The sequence below is a fragment of the Homo sapiens genome, chromosome 5 (assembly GCF_000001405.40).
Source record: "Homo sapiens chromosome 5, GRCh38.p14 Primary Assembly".
Taxonomy (NCBI): domain Eukaryota; kingdom Metazoa; phylum Chordata; class Mammalia; order Primates; family Hominidae; genus Homo; species Homo sapiens.
This window is the reverse complement of record NC_000005.10, coordinates 78,809,279-78,825,216: the sequence shown is the minus strand read 5'-3', so window position 1 is coordinate 78,825,216 and position 15,938 is coordinate 78,809,279. Positions and strand designations below refer to the sequence as shown.

At 42.9% G+C, this 15,938-nt stretch overlaps 1 protein-coding gene across 6 annotated transcripts in view, besides 1 other annotated feature; it reads left to right on the top strand.

The window, feature by feature from the left end:
- The window catches only part of ARSB (arylsulfatase B), a 208,750-nt gene that overhangs the window by 160,742 nt on the left and 32,070 nt on the right, over window positions 1–15,938 (top strand). Inside the window, exons 7-8 of one of the 6 annotated variants that reach the window (XR_001742065.3) lie at window positions 1,036–1,647; window positions 9,103–9,706. The exons of 3 other annotated variants lie outside the window; for them this stretch is intronic. Coding sequence is in view for 2 of the 3 variants with exons in the window: in XM_017009471.3 (XP_016864960.1) it covers window positions 1,036–1,178 (143 nt within the window). In the remaining variant the exon portion in view is untranslated. Of the gene's footprint in view, window positions 1–1,035; window positions 3,787–9,102; window positions 9,707–15,938 lie in introns of those variants that run through there. 2 more of the 6 variants (NM_198709.3, XM_017009471.3) reach the window with 2 other exon arrangements.
- Window positions 15,033–15,533: an enhancer, noted in NCBI's record as "H3K4me1 hESC enhancer chr5:78105507-78106007 (GRCh37/hg19 assembly coordinates)". NCBI's record gives its function as "activates a minimal SCP1, AML or CMV promoter by ChIP-STARR-seq in naive H9 embryonic stem cells {active_cell/tissue: H9 hESC(naive)}" and the evidence as "EXISTENCE:reporter gene assay evidence [ECO:0000049][PMID:30033119]".

The window sequence follows — 15,938 nt, the reverse complement described above, 5'->3', positions numbered from 1 at the left end:
TCCAAATTGTTGATGGTTTGGCAGCTCCAAGGATGACATCAACTCTTCCATTGTGCAGTATCTGCTTGCTTTTAGATAACTTGGTGGCACTTTATCAGGTTTTGGTGATTAAGCTGAATTAAAAACCAACTGGATTTGAGTTTAAATTCTCCTAACTGCTAAACCAAACACATTCCTGACCGTAGGCCTACTTTTGAATACTTCTGAAAACTTATTATTACCCATAGGCTGTTTTACTTCTAGAAACAAAAGTAAGCAAGTGAGAGAAAAATGCACTCCTTAGAGTTACTAACCACATCTGTCAAAATGCAGTATATTACCAGTGCAGCTGTTAAAATGCTTTTAAACCAGCCATCTTCTTTTCTGCCTATCTTAACCTGACTGAAAACCAAGAGGACAATAATCTTGGCATTGTTTTCCTACTTCAGAAAATCACAGATAGTTATGAGCTACTGTCTCTCTCAGCAGTTGGGGGCAGATTCTGATGATTAGTTAAGTCATGATGAAAAGATAATACCAGAAATTAGGCTATTAATGAGGAAGAAAACAGCAGGCTGTGAACAGGTCTGATAACTTTCCTGTATATCCTAGGAACTCACCTGGGAATACTAGGTGAAAACATTGGCATTCCACACATCTGGTCTATTACCCTACACTTAAAGCAGTGCCTTTCATACCTGAATGTGCACACGAATCACCTGATTCAGTCAGGCTGGGGTGGGGCCCAAATTCAGCATTTCTAACAGACTCCTGAGTGGTGCCAATACTGCTGGGTCTCTGACTACAATTTGAATATTGAGCCCCTAGTCTAGAGGACTTTCACCCAATTTGAAGCTCAATCTTTAGAATTTAAAATATTTGTATAAGTATTTAAGACTAAATATTTTTTCTAAGATATCTAATTAAAGACAGAGATGTAAGACCTTGAATTTCAGAACTGTTTTATAAATTGTATTAGTCTGTTTTGCGTTGCTGTAAAGGAATGTCTGAGACTGGGTAATTTAAAAGAGGTTTATTTCGCTCATGATTCTGCAGGCTGTACAAGCATGGCACCAGCATCTGCTCAGCTTATGATGAGGCCTCAGACAGAAGGCAAAGGGAGAGCAGGTATGCACATGGCAAGAGTGGCAGCAAGAGAGATGCCAGGCTCTTTTAAAGAACAGCTCTTTAAAACATGAACAGAACAAGACTCAAGGAGGGCATCAAGCCATTTATGAGAGATCTGCCCCTATGGCCCAAACACTCCCCACTGTGCCCCCCCTCCAACATTGGGGATCACATTTCAACATGAGATTTGGAGGAAACAGATATCCAAATTATATCATAAGTATTTATAATCTCTTCCCCCACATTTCTATTTAAGCTAGTTGTATAGCAATTTACATTATCTTTCAGATTATCCAAATGCCAAAATGTTTTCTGATCCTAAAGTAACATGATGCATTTGCTGAAAAAAAGTTTAAGATATATTCAAGCCAGCAAGACATGAAGATTTTAGAGCTCATCACAGAAGCTTGGTCTCTTTTCCTTTTGTTCCTGGTTTTCTCCTTATGTGAACATTCAGAAAGAAAACCCAAGCTTCTAAAAAATGGCAAGGAGCTCAGTATCTACCACCCTAGAAGAAGGTCCCTGGAAATCAAGAATCAGGTAGCAGATTTCTTCTCCTATGAACATTCTTGGGGAAACCTACTTAGGCTATGGGTTCTGACTTCTTTCAAGTACTTCCTCTGATCTTGCGGAAGTACTATGGATGGGTATAGGCAAACCCCAAAAAGTCCCCAGAAAGAGTTTTAGTAGAGAAACTAGGTGATTAGGAGTGCCACTACTTTGTGCAAAAGAGGAAAATTCCCCATGCTCATGCCTCTTAAATGGCTGAGAGATTTCTGTGGCCTGGTATTACACACCAGGCCAAAGTAGTCACTGGGACACCCATTGGTCAGTTACTGTGTCTCCAAGGGACACAGAGCATCTTGCCCAGTGTCATCATTATGTGAGCTTGGCCTGCCTCCTGGACTCAGTGAACCTGTTTTCTCACCTCCCAAAAATAAAAGCAAAAACACACCTACAATTTCAGAGCATGTGAAAAATGGATCTAATCATCACATTCATAGGGACAATGGTAGAATTTATTAATGTTCCTACAGTTTTCCTTTAAAGTGTTTTGAGATTAGAAACAAAACATTATATGCAATATTTGAGAGGAAAAACCACAAAATAATAAAATTTTGTATTCAGTATCTCAGTTGTGTAAAAATAATATAGACATTAAAACAGGATTAGAGGCCAGGCGTGTTGGCTCACGCCTGTAATCCCAGCACTTTGGGAGGCCGAGGCGGGCGGATCATGAGGTCAAGAGATCGAGACCATCCTGGCCAACATGGTGAAACCCTGCCTCTACTAAAAATACAAAAATTAGCTGGGCATGGTGGCACACATCTGTAGTCCCAGCTACTCAGGAGGCTGAGGCAGGAGAATGGCGTGAACCCGGAAGGCAGAGCTTGCAGTAAGCCGAGATCACGCCACTGCACTCCAGCCTGGGTGACAGAGCAAGACTCCGTCTCAAAAAACAAACAAACGAAGAAAAAAACAGGATTAGAAAGAGAATACCAAATTGTTATAATGGTCAGTTAGCTTTAGAGGGTGAGATTATGTATAATTTTTAGTATCGTTTTTATTCAATTCAGTGTACCTATTACTTTTGCAACTAAATTTTTGAAAAAGAACAAAGAAAAAAGGCAACAAAGCAACACTGATCAGGCTGAAGGTCTCCTGGGCCTAAACCTCCCAACCACCAAGAGTGTCAAAATCTCTGTTCAGGGACTTGGGTCTGTAGTTAATTGTTGGATGTTTTTATGTGGTATAAATCTGTGTACTGCCTTGATGACAGTAATAAACTAGAGTGTCTTGATAAAGACCAAAGTCATCAATTTTCCAAAATCTGTATTTGATTAATTCTCCAAAGGTCCAGGTCAATGTTATTCCTCAAACTTTATTATTTTAACATAGAAGCCCAAAGTTTCCAAGTCTGTCAGAAAATTCATTATCACTGTAAAACAGCAAAAGGTCACAAAATGTCTCTTTCTACAATAAAATAGCATATAAGAAAAAATCTCTTTTTCTCAACAATTCATTACCCCAACAGAAACCAAAAAACCTTTGACATTTCAGGTCTTTTTGCTTCAGGGGAAATAAATGTTCCATAGATCATGGAGAAAAATGACAAACAAATTAATGAAAAACAAATACACTCCTGCAGTATCCCCAGCCACGCCAGACCAAACAAGTCAGAGTCAGCTTTTATTCTTGGGTCTTTCCAACTCTGAAGAGTGACAGTTTCCATAATGGCATCAGCAGTTTAGTTAGAGAAAGCTGTACACACACCAAAGAAACACAAATTAAAGAAACATGTGGTAGAAAAACAGAAAGAGGAATTCTGTTATTTCATGCATATTTAATTCTAGTGGGAAAGTCATTGCTGGCAAAGTGTTATTGAAATCTTGAGCTAATAAGTAGAAGCATTCTAGAAGATATGCACCGCCTCCTCATAGTGCTTTATACAAAATTGTAACTTGACTGAATTTAGCAGTGCTCAATTTTCCCACATTCTAAAAATTCCTTCCTTGAATTCTGCCTCACTCTCACCACTAAACCTTGTCAGAAGTAGTTTGCATGTGCTTTCTCCATATCTTCAATTTCCATTCATTTACTAATTTTAACACCAAATACATTTCCATTTTCATTATTTGTTTAAACACAGCCATACAAATAAAACCAAAATTGGCCCAGTGCAGTGGCTCACGCCTGTAATCCCAGCACTTTGGGAGGCTGAGGTGGGTGGATCATCTGAGGTCAGGAGTTCGAGACCAACCTGGCTGACATGGTGAAACTCTGTCTCTACTAAAATTACAAAAAAATTAGCTGGGCGTGCTGGTGGATGCCTGTAATCCCAGCTACTCAGGAGGCTGAGGCAGGAGAATAGCTTGAACCCGGGAGGCAGAGGTTGCAGTGAGCTGAGATCACGCTATTGCACTCTAGCCTGGGTGACAAGAGCAAAACTCCGTCTCAGATAAATAAATAAATAAAACAAAACAAAGTTCACTATGACCCTTATTCCCTGTCCCCCTCCACAGAGGTGACCACTGCTAACAGTTTTGACTTTATAGACCACTTTAGATGTGCTTATGTATACAATATGGATTTATGGAGCAGTGGTGTGTACAATACTTTTTTTTTTTTACATAGATAATATCATATAAAATGTTGTGGGGTTTTTTTTTTGCCACATACTTTTTTCTGTCAATGATCTGTCTTGGAGATCTTTCCAGATCCGTAAGTATAAATCAGTGGTTTTCAACCAGGGGCTAGTGAGCCCCCCAGGGGAGATTTGGCAATTTTTGCAGGCATTTTTGGTGGTCACGACCTGAGTGGGGAATGCTATTGGCATCTAGTAGGTAGAAGTCAGGGATGTACTAAACATCCCACAATGCACAGAACAGCCCTATGACAAAGAGTTTTCCACCTGAAATGTCAATAATGCTGAGGCTGAGAAACCCTGATAAAGGTCTACTTTATTCTTTTAACTGCTGCATGGTATTCTGTAGTTTATTTAGCCAGTCATGTAGCAGTGTATATTTACATGATTTTTTTTTCTTTTTTGAGTTGGAGTCTTGCTCTGTTGCCCAGGCTGGAGTGCAGTGGTGCGATTTCGACTCACTGCAACCTCTACCTCCCGGGTTCAAGCGATTCTCCTGCCTCAGCCTCCCGAGTAGGTGGGACTATAGGCGTCCACCACCACACCCAGCTAATTTCTGTATTTTTAGTAGAGACTTTTAAAAACATGTTTATTTGTAGATATCAGTGAATGTTTCTTCCATTTACTTTTGACCCAACTGCAATCAACCTTGTTTCCTAAATATCCCTAAATCCATTGCTACTGCTTTAACAAAATACCACAGACTGGGTAATTTATAAATAATAAAACTTTATTTCTCACAGTTCTGGAGGCTGGGAAGTCTAAGACTGAGGTGCCGGCAGATTTGGTGTCTGGTGAGGGCTCCTTTCTGCTTCCAAGATGGTGCCCTGTGGCTGCATCTTCCAGAGGAGAGAAACATTGAGTCCTCACGTGGCAGAAGGGACAAAAGGGGAAAAGGGAAGAACTCTCTTCCTCAGGTTCTTGGATAAAGGCACTAATCCTATCCATGAGGGTGGAGCCCCCAGGGCCTAATCACTTCCCAATGGCCCCACCTCTTAATGCCATCACCTTGGGGGTTCCAACATATGGATTTTGGAGCAACAAACCATAGCAGCCCCCTGCAGGTGACCAGTGGGTTTTCTGAATCCCTTGGCTCCTTTTCAGCATGAGCTGACTTGGCCCTTCTGTGCCATTTGCCAGTGCTTGTCCTAAAGCACTTGGCCTCCCAGGCCCCTTGGCTCTGCCTTTTTCCTCTCTACCTCTGTGGCCCCCTTCAGTCTCTGTGGCTCTGCCATCTCCTGAGCTCTTGCTGTCACAGTGCTAGGCATTAGGGATATGAAGACGAACTGTGGAAGGTCCCAGCCCTGGAGACCCTCCAGTCTAGAAGACAAGCACATACACAAATCTCCCAAAGGGAAGCATCACCTAGTCAGGGCACATTTGAAGTGTGCTGAGTGATTGAATAAATAACTAAATATAGTAGATTTTAGAGGACAGTGGGAAATGTTTTTCCTTCATGATTCAGAATTTACTGCATATTTTATCTTCATGACACCTTTTCTCACAACATACGTTTTGAAAAAAAATAAGTCACGAAAAAGACTTTCCTCATATTTTCCCACCCACAGTCTTTTTGTCTGCCTTGAAACAGCAACTGCATTGTTTCACATACAGGGAATGCACTTGGTCTTTGCCAAGGCAGAGAACAGATCAAATTTGAGAAGCAGCCCTGCTTGCTGCTGGCTGAGGGATGGGAAGTGAGGTTGGCCCTCGGAGCTTCCTTCCCCTACCCTTTCTTTCAACCTCCTCATGATGGTAGGACCATCACCTCCCAGCAGCCCCTTCCTTACTCCTGTGGGGAGATTTCAGAAGCAGACTGAGTGGCAACTGCCGCCTGGCCCTTTTCTCCCTGGATCAAGGGATCTTAAGCACCTACCTGAAACCTAACAGCAAAGGAAATCTCAACTATAAATCTAACTCCATGCAGAAATTAAACTCCTTCAACGGGTATTCACTGCTCACTGTGCAGGCCCCAGGGAAGTGTAAAGATCAATGGGACATGGCCTCTGCCCCTAAGGAGCCAGAGAGGGCCAGGGCAAGGGTGGGAGGGGGCATCTATAAACAACTGCTTGCAATGCAAAACAGAATCAAGTTAGTCCTAAAAAGAGGATTGAGCAAGGTTGCTTAAGGAGAAAGGAAGGATTCATTATGATAGGAGATCAAGCAAGACACTTGAAAAGCATGTCCCTTCTGGTAGCGGGCGCCTGAAGTCCCAGCTACTCAAGAGGCTGAGGCAGGAGAATGGCATGGACCCAGGAGGCGGAGCTTGCAGTGAGCCGAGATTGAGATCACGCCACTGCACTCCAGCCTGGGCGACAGAGCGAGACTCTGTCTCAAAAAAAAAAAAAAAAAAAAAAAAAAAAAAAGAGCTTTATTTTATGGGTTCTTTCCATTTAAACCCAAGGAAAGTGGGGTTTCTGAAAGAAGAAATGAAATGCGAACCGTGCAAGATTCTAGATGGCCATTCTGCTGAGCACCATGTAGTTTGGGTAAAGCCCTGAACCTTACAAATGGGAGTTTTTATCTCAGATATGTATCTCAGATGCAGGACTTTTATCTCAGATATAACTAAGAGTATCCAAGATTGCAGCTGTCTCGGCCCTAGATGCTCAAGCCTGTGCAGCCTTAGTTGTATATCAGAGATCTACAGAGATCTTAGTTGTGTATCAGAGATCTACAGAGATCTTAGTTGTGTATCAGAGATCTACAGAGATCTTAGTTGTGTATCAGAGATCTACAGAGATCTTAGCTGTATATCAGAGATCCACAGAGATCTTAATTGTATATCAGAGATCTTTCTTTGGGGGGCGGCACAGGGGGACGGAGTCTTGCTCTGTCACCCAGGCTGGAGTGCAGTGGTGTGATCTTGGTTCACTGCAACCTCTGTCTCCTGGGTTCAAGTCATTCTCCTACCTCAGCCAGCTGAGTAGCTGGGACCACAGGTACGTGCTGCCATGCCCAGCTAATTTTTTTGTATTTTTAGTAGAGACGAGGATTTACCATGTTGGCCAGGCTGGTCTTGAACTCCTGACCTCAAGTGATCCACCTGCCTTGGCCTCCCAAAGTGTTGGGATTACAGATGTAAGCCACTGTGCCCAGCCCTTAGTTGTATATCAGAGACATTTTTTGTTTTGTTTTTTTGGGTTTTTTGAGGCAGAGTCTCGCTGTCACTCTGTTGCCCAGGCTGGAGTACAGTGGCGTACTCTCAGCTCGCTGCAACCCTTGCCTCCCAGGTTCAGGAGATTCTCCTGCCTCAGCCTCCTGAGTAGCTGGGAGTACAGGCATATGGCACCACACCCAGCTAATTCTTGTATTTTTAGTAGAGAGGTGGTTTCACCATATTGGTCAGGCTGGTCTCGGACTCCTGACCTTAGGTGATTCACCCCTCTTGGCCTCCCAAAGTGCTGGGAGTACAGGTGTGAGCCACCGCGCCCGGCCTATCAGAGATCTTAATTTGATTTATTTCTGTTCAAATCAGATCTGACTCTTAAAGGCACCCATTTATTGCCCCAGACCTGACTGTAGATATTCTGCAGGATCTACACATACTTTTATCTTTATTTATATTTCTATTTGCTTATGTTGAAGCCGAGTGGGTCCTGGGAACATAAAGGATATAGCTCAAGGATAGAGGCTTTTACCATAAATTGCCAAAGCTCACCTAGAGAAAGAACAGAGAGGAAGCTGTGAAGGATGTGTGGGTTTGGGGAGGGAAGCATAAACCAGAGAGAGTGAAGCAGTTGGATTATTGGTCAGTGAACAAGGACAACAGTGGTCACCATAGCTGTTGTTATTTTGTGCCTACTAATGATCATTCTTTATCTCTCCCAGTAGAGAACTGATTGAACTGAAGTCCGGAAGACAAGGAGGGTACTGCTACAGAAGGGCCCAGAGGGCTGCTGCATTTATTTCCTATCGCTGTATAGCAAATTACCACAAATTTAGCAGCTTAAAATAACACCTGTTTACTACCTCACAGTTCTGTAGGTCTGAAGGCTGGGCAGGCTCAACTGGGTTCTCTGCTTAGGGTCTCAGAGGGCTGAATTCAAGGTGTCAGTCAGGTTGGGCTCTTACCTGGAGGCTTTGCAGAAGAACCTTCTTCCAAGCTTGCTCAGGTTGTTGGCAGAATTCAGTTGCTGTGGTTGTAGGACTGAAGTCCCTGTTGTCTCCGCAAGGACTACCCTCAGCTTCTCAAGTTCTTGTCCCATTGACCCTTTCATGGTAAAGTCAGCAATGGAGAAGCTTCCTCTTGTTGAATCCCTCTCACAATTAGAATCTCTCAACTGTAACAAGAATCTCGCTTCTGTAACAAGCTGGAGAAAATTCCCTACTTTTAAAAGGCTCATGTGATTAGGTTAGGCCCATGCAGATGCTCTCTGATTAGTAACCTTAATGGCATCTGCAGAATTCCTTTTCCCACCAAACATAACATAATCTCAGGAGTAACACCAGGGGGTGAAGACCATGGAGCCCTTGGTTCCACCTGACCTTGGAATGACACCTGGAAATCCAGGGTTCAGGGACCAGAAATCTGTGACTGAGGGTGGGGCTGGGGAGTGACACACAGAAGGGAAATATTCTCCGGGAGCCAAACAGAGAAGGACTTTTGGAGGCAGAATTTGCTGACAGAGCTAATCAAGCCCCCTTAATCAGTAAGAGTCTTTGTTGAGCACCTTCTTTTCTAGGCCCTGTTAGGCACTAGAATAATGAAGGAGACAGTCCTTGCCCTTTAGGAATTCACAGTCTAGTGAGATTGTAAGAAATCTCCTGGACTAGAAATGCAGTCCTGATACAACCGTACCCTGAGAAATCTGTATATCTTCAGGAAAGTCATTTTGTGTGTTTTACAGACTGGCCTGAGTGCTCGCTGCTGTTGTAGCTACCACCAACTTTCTACTGAAGATGATAACCCAGGGCATAAGAAATGACTTCAGACCCAAGGTTCTGAAAGGGCCCCTCAAGGCCTCGGGTGGCTCCTGCAGAAGTGGCAGAAGAGGCGGGAACTAGGAACCTGGCATCATAGGAAAAGTGCCTTCTCCAAGAAAGAAGGGGCCCCAGGAGGCTGTCTTACTTAGATCAACCATAAACTACCACAGATGGGTCATTTCTTATATTATTTCAAAATATCTTTGAAGATGAGAATTCATTTGTGTCCTTCATAGACCAAAGTTCTTTGTGTTACCTTTTCCCAAAAGTAAATTCCTTTCCCTTTATTCATTCCTTGTGGAAATAAAATGCAAGCCCTTTATACTTGTCTTACAGTAATATGGCACATGTAGCTTACTTTTGAGCATCCCAGTGAATAATGTTTGGAACTTTTCTTATTACCTAATAGCATATAGAGAAGAGTGAAGTCAGCTAAAAACAGAAATTTTGAAAAGCCATCTTCAGGAAAATGTAGGCCCAGATGCTTTCCTCCACCTTTTTTGACAGGCTGCCACATACAGTTTCACAGGTTGCTAACTGCACAGGGGCACAGCCTGTCCTCCATTTGCCAAGTCACACTTTCTGGCACAGAGAGGGGTGTCTTGTTCTAATTTGTCTTTGTGGCCTGCTCTCTTCTGTTCTTGAAGCTGCAAGCCACAGTGAGATGAGTGAAAAGCAGTCAGTCTCATAGAAAAAAGCAGGGAAAAAGCAATAGAGACAAGAAGGAAAGCCAAGGAAAGGATTCTTGGGGAAGGTCAACAGGGAAGGGTGGAGAAGGGGAAAGGAGATGACCATTATGATCTTCTAATTAGGAGTTTAGGGGAGATCGTTTGCCTTATTCAGCAACCATGCGACTAGAAAATAAGCAATCTCTTTAAAATAATGCTTTACTACAGTCAACTTCAATAATCTTTTCGATAATTGGGTTGTGATTAAACTTACAGGCACAAGACTAAATAATCCCAACGCCTTTAACTTTGCACATTGTTTTTTGTTTGTTTGGTTGGTTTTGTTGTTTTAGTTTGGGGTTTTTTTTACTTTGTGTGCCCTTATATATTCAACAAATACTTCTTGGTACCCATTCTATTCATAGCACTCTCTTAGTCCTTGTATACAGGGGTCCTCAATCCTTGATGTGAATTAAAGTCACCTGGGCAGCATGCTGAAAATGCAGCTTCCTAGGCCCTCCCTTCATGCAGCTTCAGGATCTCTCAGCTATATTTTGATCAAACATCCAAGGAATTTCTGGTGATTCAAGGACCACACTTTGAGGAAGCTTGCTGTAGACATGGAAAGCATATAATCCATAGTTCTTTGTCCTGTAAGACCGTATAACTGAGTTAGGGAACAGGAGGTAGACATACATAAAGATAACGAACAACACCCAACAGTGGGTGCTACAGAAGCAAGTGAGTAACAGAGAAAATGATGAACCAGTGACATATTAGGTGGGAAGAGGAAGAATGTTCCTACATGGAATTCCCTGAAGACTTCAAAAAAAAGAGTGGGCCTTTAAAAGAGAGGAGAGACCATTTCAGTTGGGAAAAATATGTAAATAAAGGCGCAGTAGCTTTATGTGGTGAGAGACTTAGGGAAAGACTGACTCAACATCTCTTGGCTTCATGATGATCCTTTTTGACCCACAGGTTCTTTCTCCTTTCTTATTAGGTTGCTTTTAAGACTATTTCATAAGGGATCGCAGATGTGCATGTAAAAAGAGATTAATCACTATTGAAATGTATGTGCTGACTGATTTGTGTGTTACACTATTGAAAAACTGTATAGACTCCAAATGGCATCTGATTATTAAATTCAGATGCCAGAGTCTTTGATTAACAGCATGTCTTTTTGCTCTGTATATTTTCCTTCAGAAGTAGCAGGGCTTGCAGACATCTCAAGCTATGCCACAGAAGAGTCAAACAGAGGAAGTGGTCATGAAATTAAATGTGAAGACAGTCTATTAACTTTTGCAATACAGAACCTTTGTTTACTCATAAAATCCATATTTGGAGCTCATTCTTTCCAAATGGATTATTATCTAAGTGTTTTTATTGGAGACTGTTTGGTACTTGTGTTTTATAGTTCTTTTTCTTTCACTCAAACAATTTTGTATATTAGAAAACAATTTCAGCAAATATTTTATGTTTAAAAAATCAGAAGAAAATGAAGATGACCCTCTCTTTTGCCAGTACTCATAATAAATACAAAATGAGAAGAGATTTTTATAGTACTGCATGACTCTATTATCTGGAGTACAAATCACTGCTTTTTTTTTTGTTTTGTGAGACAGGGTCTCCCTCTGTCCTCCAGGATGAGCACAAAGGCATCCTCTCGGCTCACTGCAGCCTTGAGCTCCCTGGCTCAAGTGATCCTCCCACCTCAGCCTCCTGAATAGCTGGGACCACAGGCATGTGCTACCATGCCCAACTAATTTTTTATTTTTTGTAGAGATGGGGACTCACTTTGCTGCCCAGGCTGGTCTTGAATTCCTGGACTCAAGTAATCCTCCTACCTCAGCCTCACAAAGTGTTGGGATTACAGGTGTGAGTCACTGTGCCTGGCCTTGCATTTTTTAAAAGTGATAAGTAAATGCTATATGACTTCAGGTAGAGATTATATCTCATGTTTAATTTGTATAACTGCATAAGTAGAAAAACTGTTCATGAAAATATATTGGCTGGGCGTGGTGGATCACACCTGTAAACTCAGCACTTTGGGAGGCTGAGGTGGGTGGATCTCCTGAGGTCAGGAGTTCAAGACTAGCCTGGCCAACATGGAGAAACCCCATCTCTACTAAAAATACAAAAATTAGCCGGTGTGGTGGCACATGCCTGTAATCCCAGCTACCTGGGAGGCTGAGGCAGGAGAATCACTTGAACCCGGGAGGCAGAGGTTGCAGTGAGCCGAGATTGCACCACTGCACTCCAGCCTGGGTGACAGAGCAAGAGAAAAAAAAAAGAAAGGAAGGAAGGAAGAAATTTACTTATTCCATCTCTGTACACATAATTTGTAAACTTTTTTATCATCAATTATTATTATAAATTTTTTGAGACAGGGTCTCACTGTGTTGCCCAGGCTGGAGCGTAGTGGTGTGAGCACGGCTCACTGCAGCCTCGATCACCTGGGCTCCAGCAATCCTCCCATATCAGCCTCCTGAGTAACTGAGACTATAGGCACATGCCACCATGCCCGGTTAATTTTTGTATTTTGTAGAGACAGGGTTTCGCCATGTTACCCAGGCTGGTCTTGAACTCCTGAGCTCAAGCAATCCACCTGCCTCAGCCTCCCAAAGTGCTGGGATTACAGGCATGAGCCACCACATCAGCCCATCAATTATTATTAAACTCATGTGTACCAGTACAATTTCAAGCCCTCTAAGCTGCATTTAATGCTAAATTGTGATATCATGTGTGTGTGTGTGTGTGTGTGTGTGTGTGTGTGTGTGTTTGAACAGAATGTTCATATGACTTCATTTCTATAATAATGTGATAATACAAATATTTGGGGTCATTTTAATCGTATTAGCATTTATCTTTACCAAATTGATTTGATTGTTGTGTAGCCACTTCTCATCTGTTACATATACACGTTTTACATATCATTCAAACTTGAAATTTCCTTAAACAACTTTCCCAGCCTGGTTTCGGATGATTGCTTGTTGAGACTTTGTCCATGCTCTGTCCTCCCCTCCCCACTGTAAATACTCTTCTTTTGGGCTAGGGGGCTGTGCCCTCCAGGGTATTGTTTTCCTTCCTGTTCAGTGCCCATGCTCTTGCCTGTGTTTCTCCTGTACCTTTCCCAGGACCTAGCAGACAGCCGAGCACCTGCCCACTGCTCTGTAAATACTGACCTGCATCTCAAGTGGGGTAGCCTTTGTGTACTTTCCCATTTCCAAGTTGATTTGCCTGTGAATCCCATATGTGAACACATATGCAGATGTCCCTGATGTGCTCTTTCCTGCTTGGAGGCACATGCAAGGATGTGGCACTTTTTCTAATTGCTTGAACAGTCAAGTGGATCTCTCTTAGGCAGCACTTGGCCAAAAATTCTGAATATTTAATCACTGGTACAGGATTAGTTCAGTTGGCCAAAAAGAAAAAAAAAATGTATGGATGAAATGTGAATACACTGTTAACTTTTTCATCTGCCTTTATAATTAGTGTTTTTTCAATATTAAGTTTCTGCTTTTTATACTGAGTTTTTAGGGAAAAAATATGGGAAGGATTCCATATTCATTGCTTCACACGATCTATAGTTCCTGAGATAACTATATAATTATGAATGTTGATACACCCATAAGAGACTTTGCTTTTTCCTCTCACACATCTGTTTTGCTTTAGGCAAGAGAACTTTCTCATGCCAGAATGGCTGCAGTGGATGTAGGCAATCTGCTTTATGTTGAGCCGCTACAATTCACAGATGCAAATGTTTAAAAGGTTAACATGGTTATTTCTTCATCTGAAACAAACGTCCCTAGTCACTACTTTTGTCCTTTAAAAAAAATTGTATTCTTTTATAAATCCATTGTGTGTAATCCTTATACCCTTGTCTCATAATCCTCATATCAGAGCTGAATTAACTCTTTTGTGGCCTCCTGTGATGAATTTCAGTTGTCCTACTAGTTTCTCTTGCTGGTGTGATTGTGTCCTCTTGATGGAATTTAGGTTCTTAGGGAGAGAATGAGGGAAGCAGCTTCTCTACCCAGAACAGAATCCCACTAACCGAAAGAATGCTGCCCTGCAAAAAAGTTTCTAGTGTATCCATGTGTGATCTCAATTATTTAATCAACAAACATTCCAGAGCATCCATTGTTTCACTGTACTAGGAAATGGGGGCAAGACCAGGATAGTATACGGAGGCTAACCTCAGCAACTGCAGTCCAGTTGGAAAGATGAAACCTAACATGATGATAGGATGGCAGCGGGTTGTGAGTGTCAAACGCATGCTTCTGTACTGCGCTCCTGCTGCCTCCAAAAGCAGGGGGAGCCTTCAGTTCATCACACCTACAGCTCTGGACATTTTTTCATGTTGTTAAATTAATCTAACATTGTAGGATCTGAATTTTCTATAGAAACTTTACCTAACTTTTCTTGTATTGCTAATTTGTTGTATTGAGTAAGCCTTCTGTGTAGAAAACAGTTTAACTATGTTAACAACACTATGTCAAAGATTCAAAGCCTTTGAGAGCTTAGGAGAAATCCAACCCCAGTCATTTTCTGACACAACTGAACACAGTACTCTGTGGTTGAAAGTTCCTGAAACTCCCAAAGCACAGGAAGGCTGACTACAGATCCTAAAGATGTTTAACTCACATAGTCCTTGGTGGCACTTACTGTTTGCAGCTGGAGGGCCTTGTATTTTCTTAAAATGCATCCTAAATAAAAACTCAAAAGCCATTCAATGCTAATTCAAGTTTCATGGTTAAAGGCGCAGCTTTGCTGGCATCTAGAATTAGAACCGTGTGGTGTGTCCCCCAGAAAACGAGCTCTCATGGCAAAAACAGACAAACTCTACCCCCTGCCAAACTAACTGTCAGCAGAAATCTGGTCTGCTTTCTGAAATGGGATGTAGGTTTCCAAATTCTCTAGACAATCTCTTTCCAAAGCAAAGGAGAAACAAATAACTCACAGGCACCAACTGCATTTTCTGTTCAAAGCAAGAAGGGTTTTCACTGTGCTGTTTTTACCTGTCATTTCACAACTCAGTTCTCTCTGGAGCACTTGTACCAAGGGTACAAGAAAGTCATGAGATCAGAGAGCTGGTTTTGGACATGCACTTAATCACTCCCATCCTTATTTCCCCTGCTTCCCTGATGCCCCTGAATAGCAGGCTCTGTCCCCGAAAGAGAAATGAGAGTTAAAGAAATGACCACTTAACCTTTTCCTTTGGTAGGGAGGTTCTAGGAGGCCAGTGAAGCTTGCGGGGGTCGGGAAATTTGAGAAGTGAATGGAGATTAGGAGAACAGAGTTTGCTCCAGATGAGCTTTGGAGCTGTGCCTTTTCTTCTGGAACTCACTACCGGATCAAGGGGTCTAGTGGGGTGCCCACCACACTGGCCACCAGACCAGGCTTGATGGAAAGGGCCCAGAGATGGGTCCTGCTTGTGCAGTCTACAACTGCCAGCATCAGCTGCCCCCTATTCCTCTCTGTGGCCCATGGTCAGCCAGAATCAGAGGGCCAAAGCAATGGGCCTGTAGCTTGAGAAGCATGTCAGCAGGCTGGGGTTCAAGGCCAGGCCTACAGGCCCGCAGTGGAGAGGGCAAGGCTGGCTCCAGGTCCGATGGGCAGGTTGCCAGGACGTGATTTTCAGAGCAGGAAAGTGGAGTGAAGCGTGACTGGCAGTGAGTGTGAGCAGACAGCTGCAGAGTCGTCTCTGCCTAGTGTTAGGCCTGGCCGCAGGCTCTGGCGGCCCTCAGCCTGACCGTAGGATGGGTCTCCCAGCTTCAGCTGAAGGCAAGAAGTGCCGCTGACTTGGGGAGCTGAGCCAGACCTGGCTCCTGCCCTCCTCCCTGAACGTGCTCCAGGATCATCTGTCTGCCTGTTGTTCCTCACTCTTTTTAGCTCTCCACGGGGCTGGCCTTTGTTGTAGACAGAGAAGAGAGGCACTGTGTTATGTGCCGAAAGCTCTGTCACAAGACACCTACACCACCAATGTGCTGCCGTGCTTTTCCTCATGCTGTTCCCGTTGCCCAAGTGACCTTTCCTGCCTTTCTGTGCCTGGTAAAATCTGGCTTGTTCTTTGAGATCCAGTTCAAATGTAA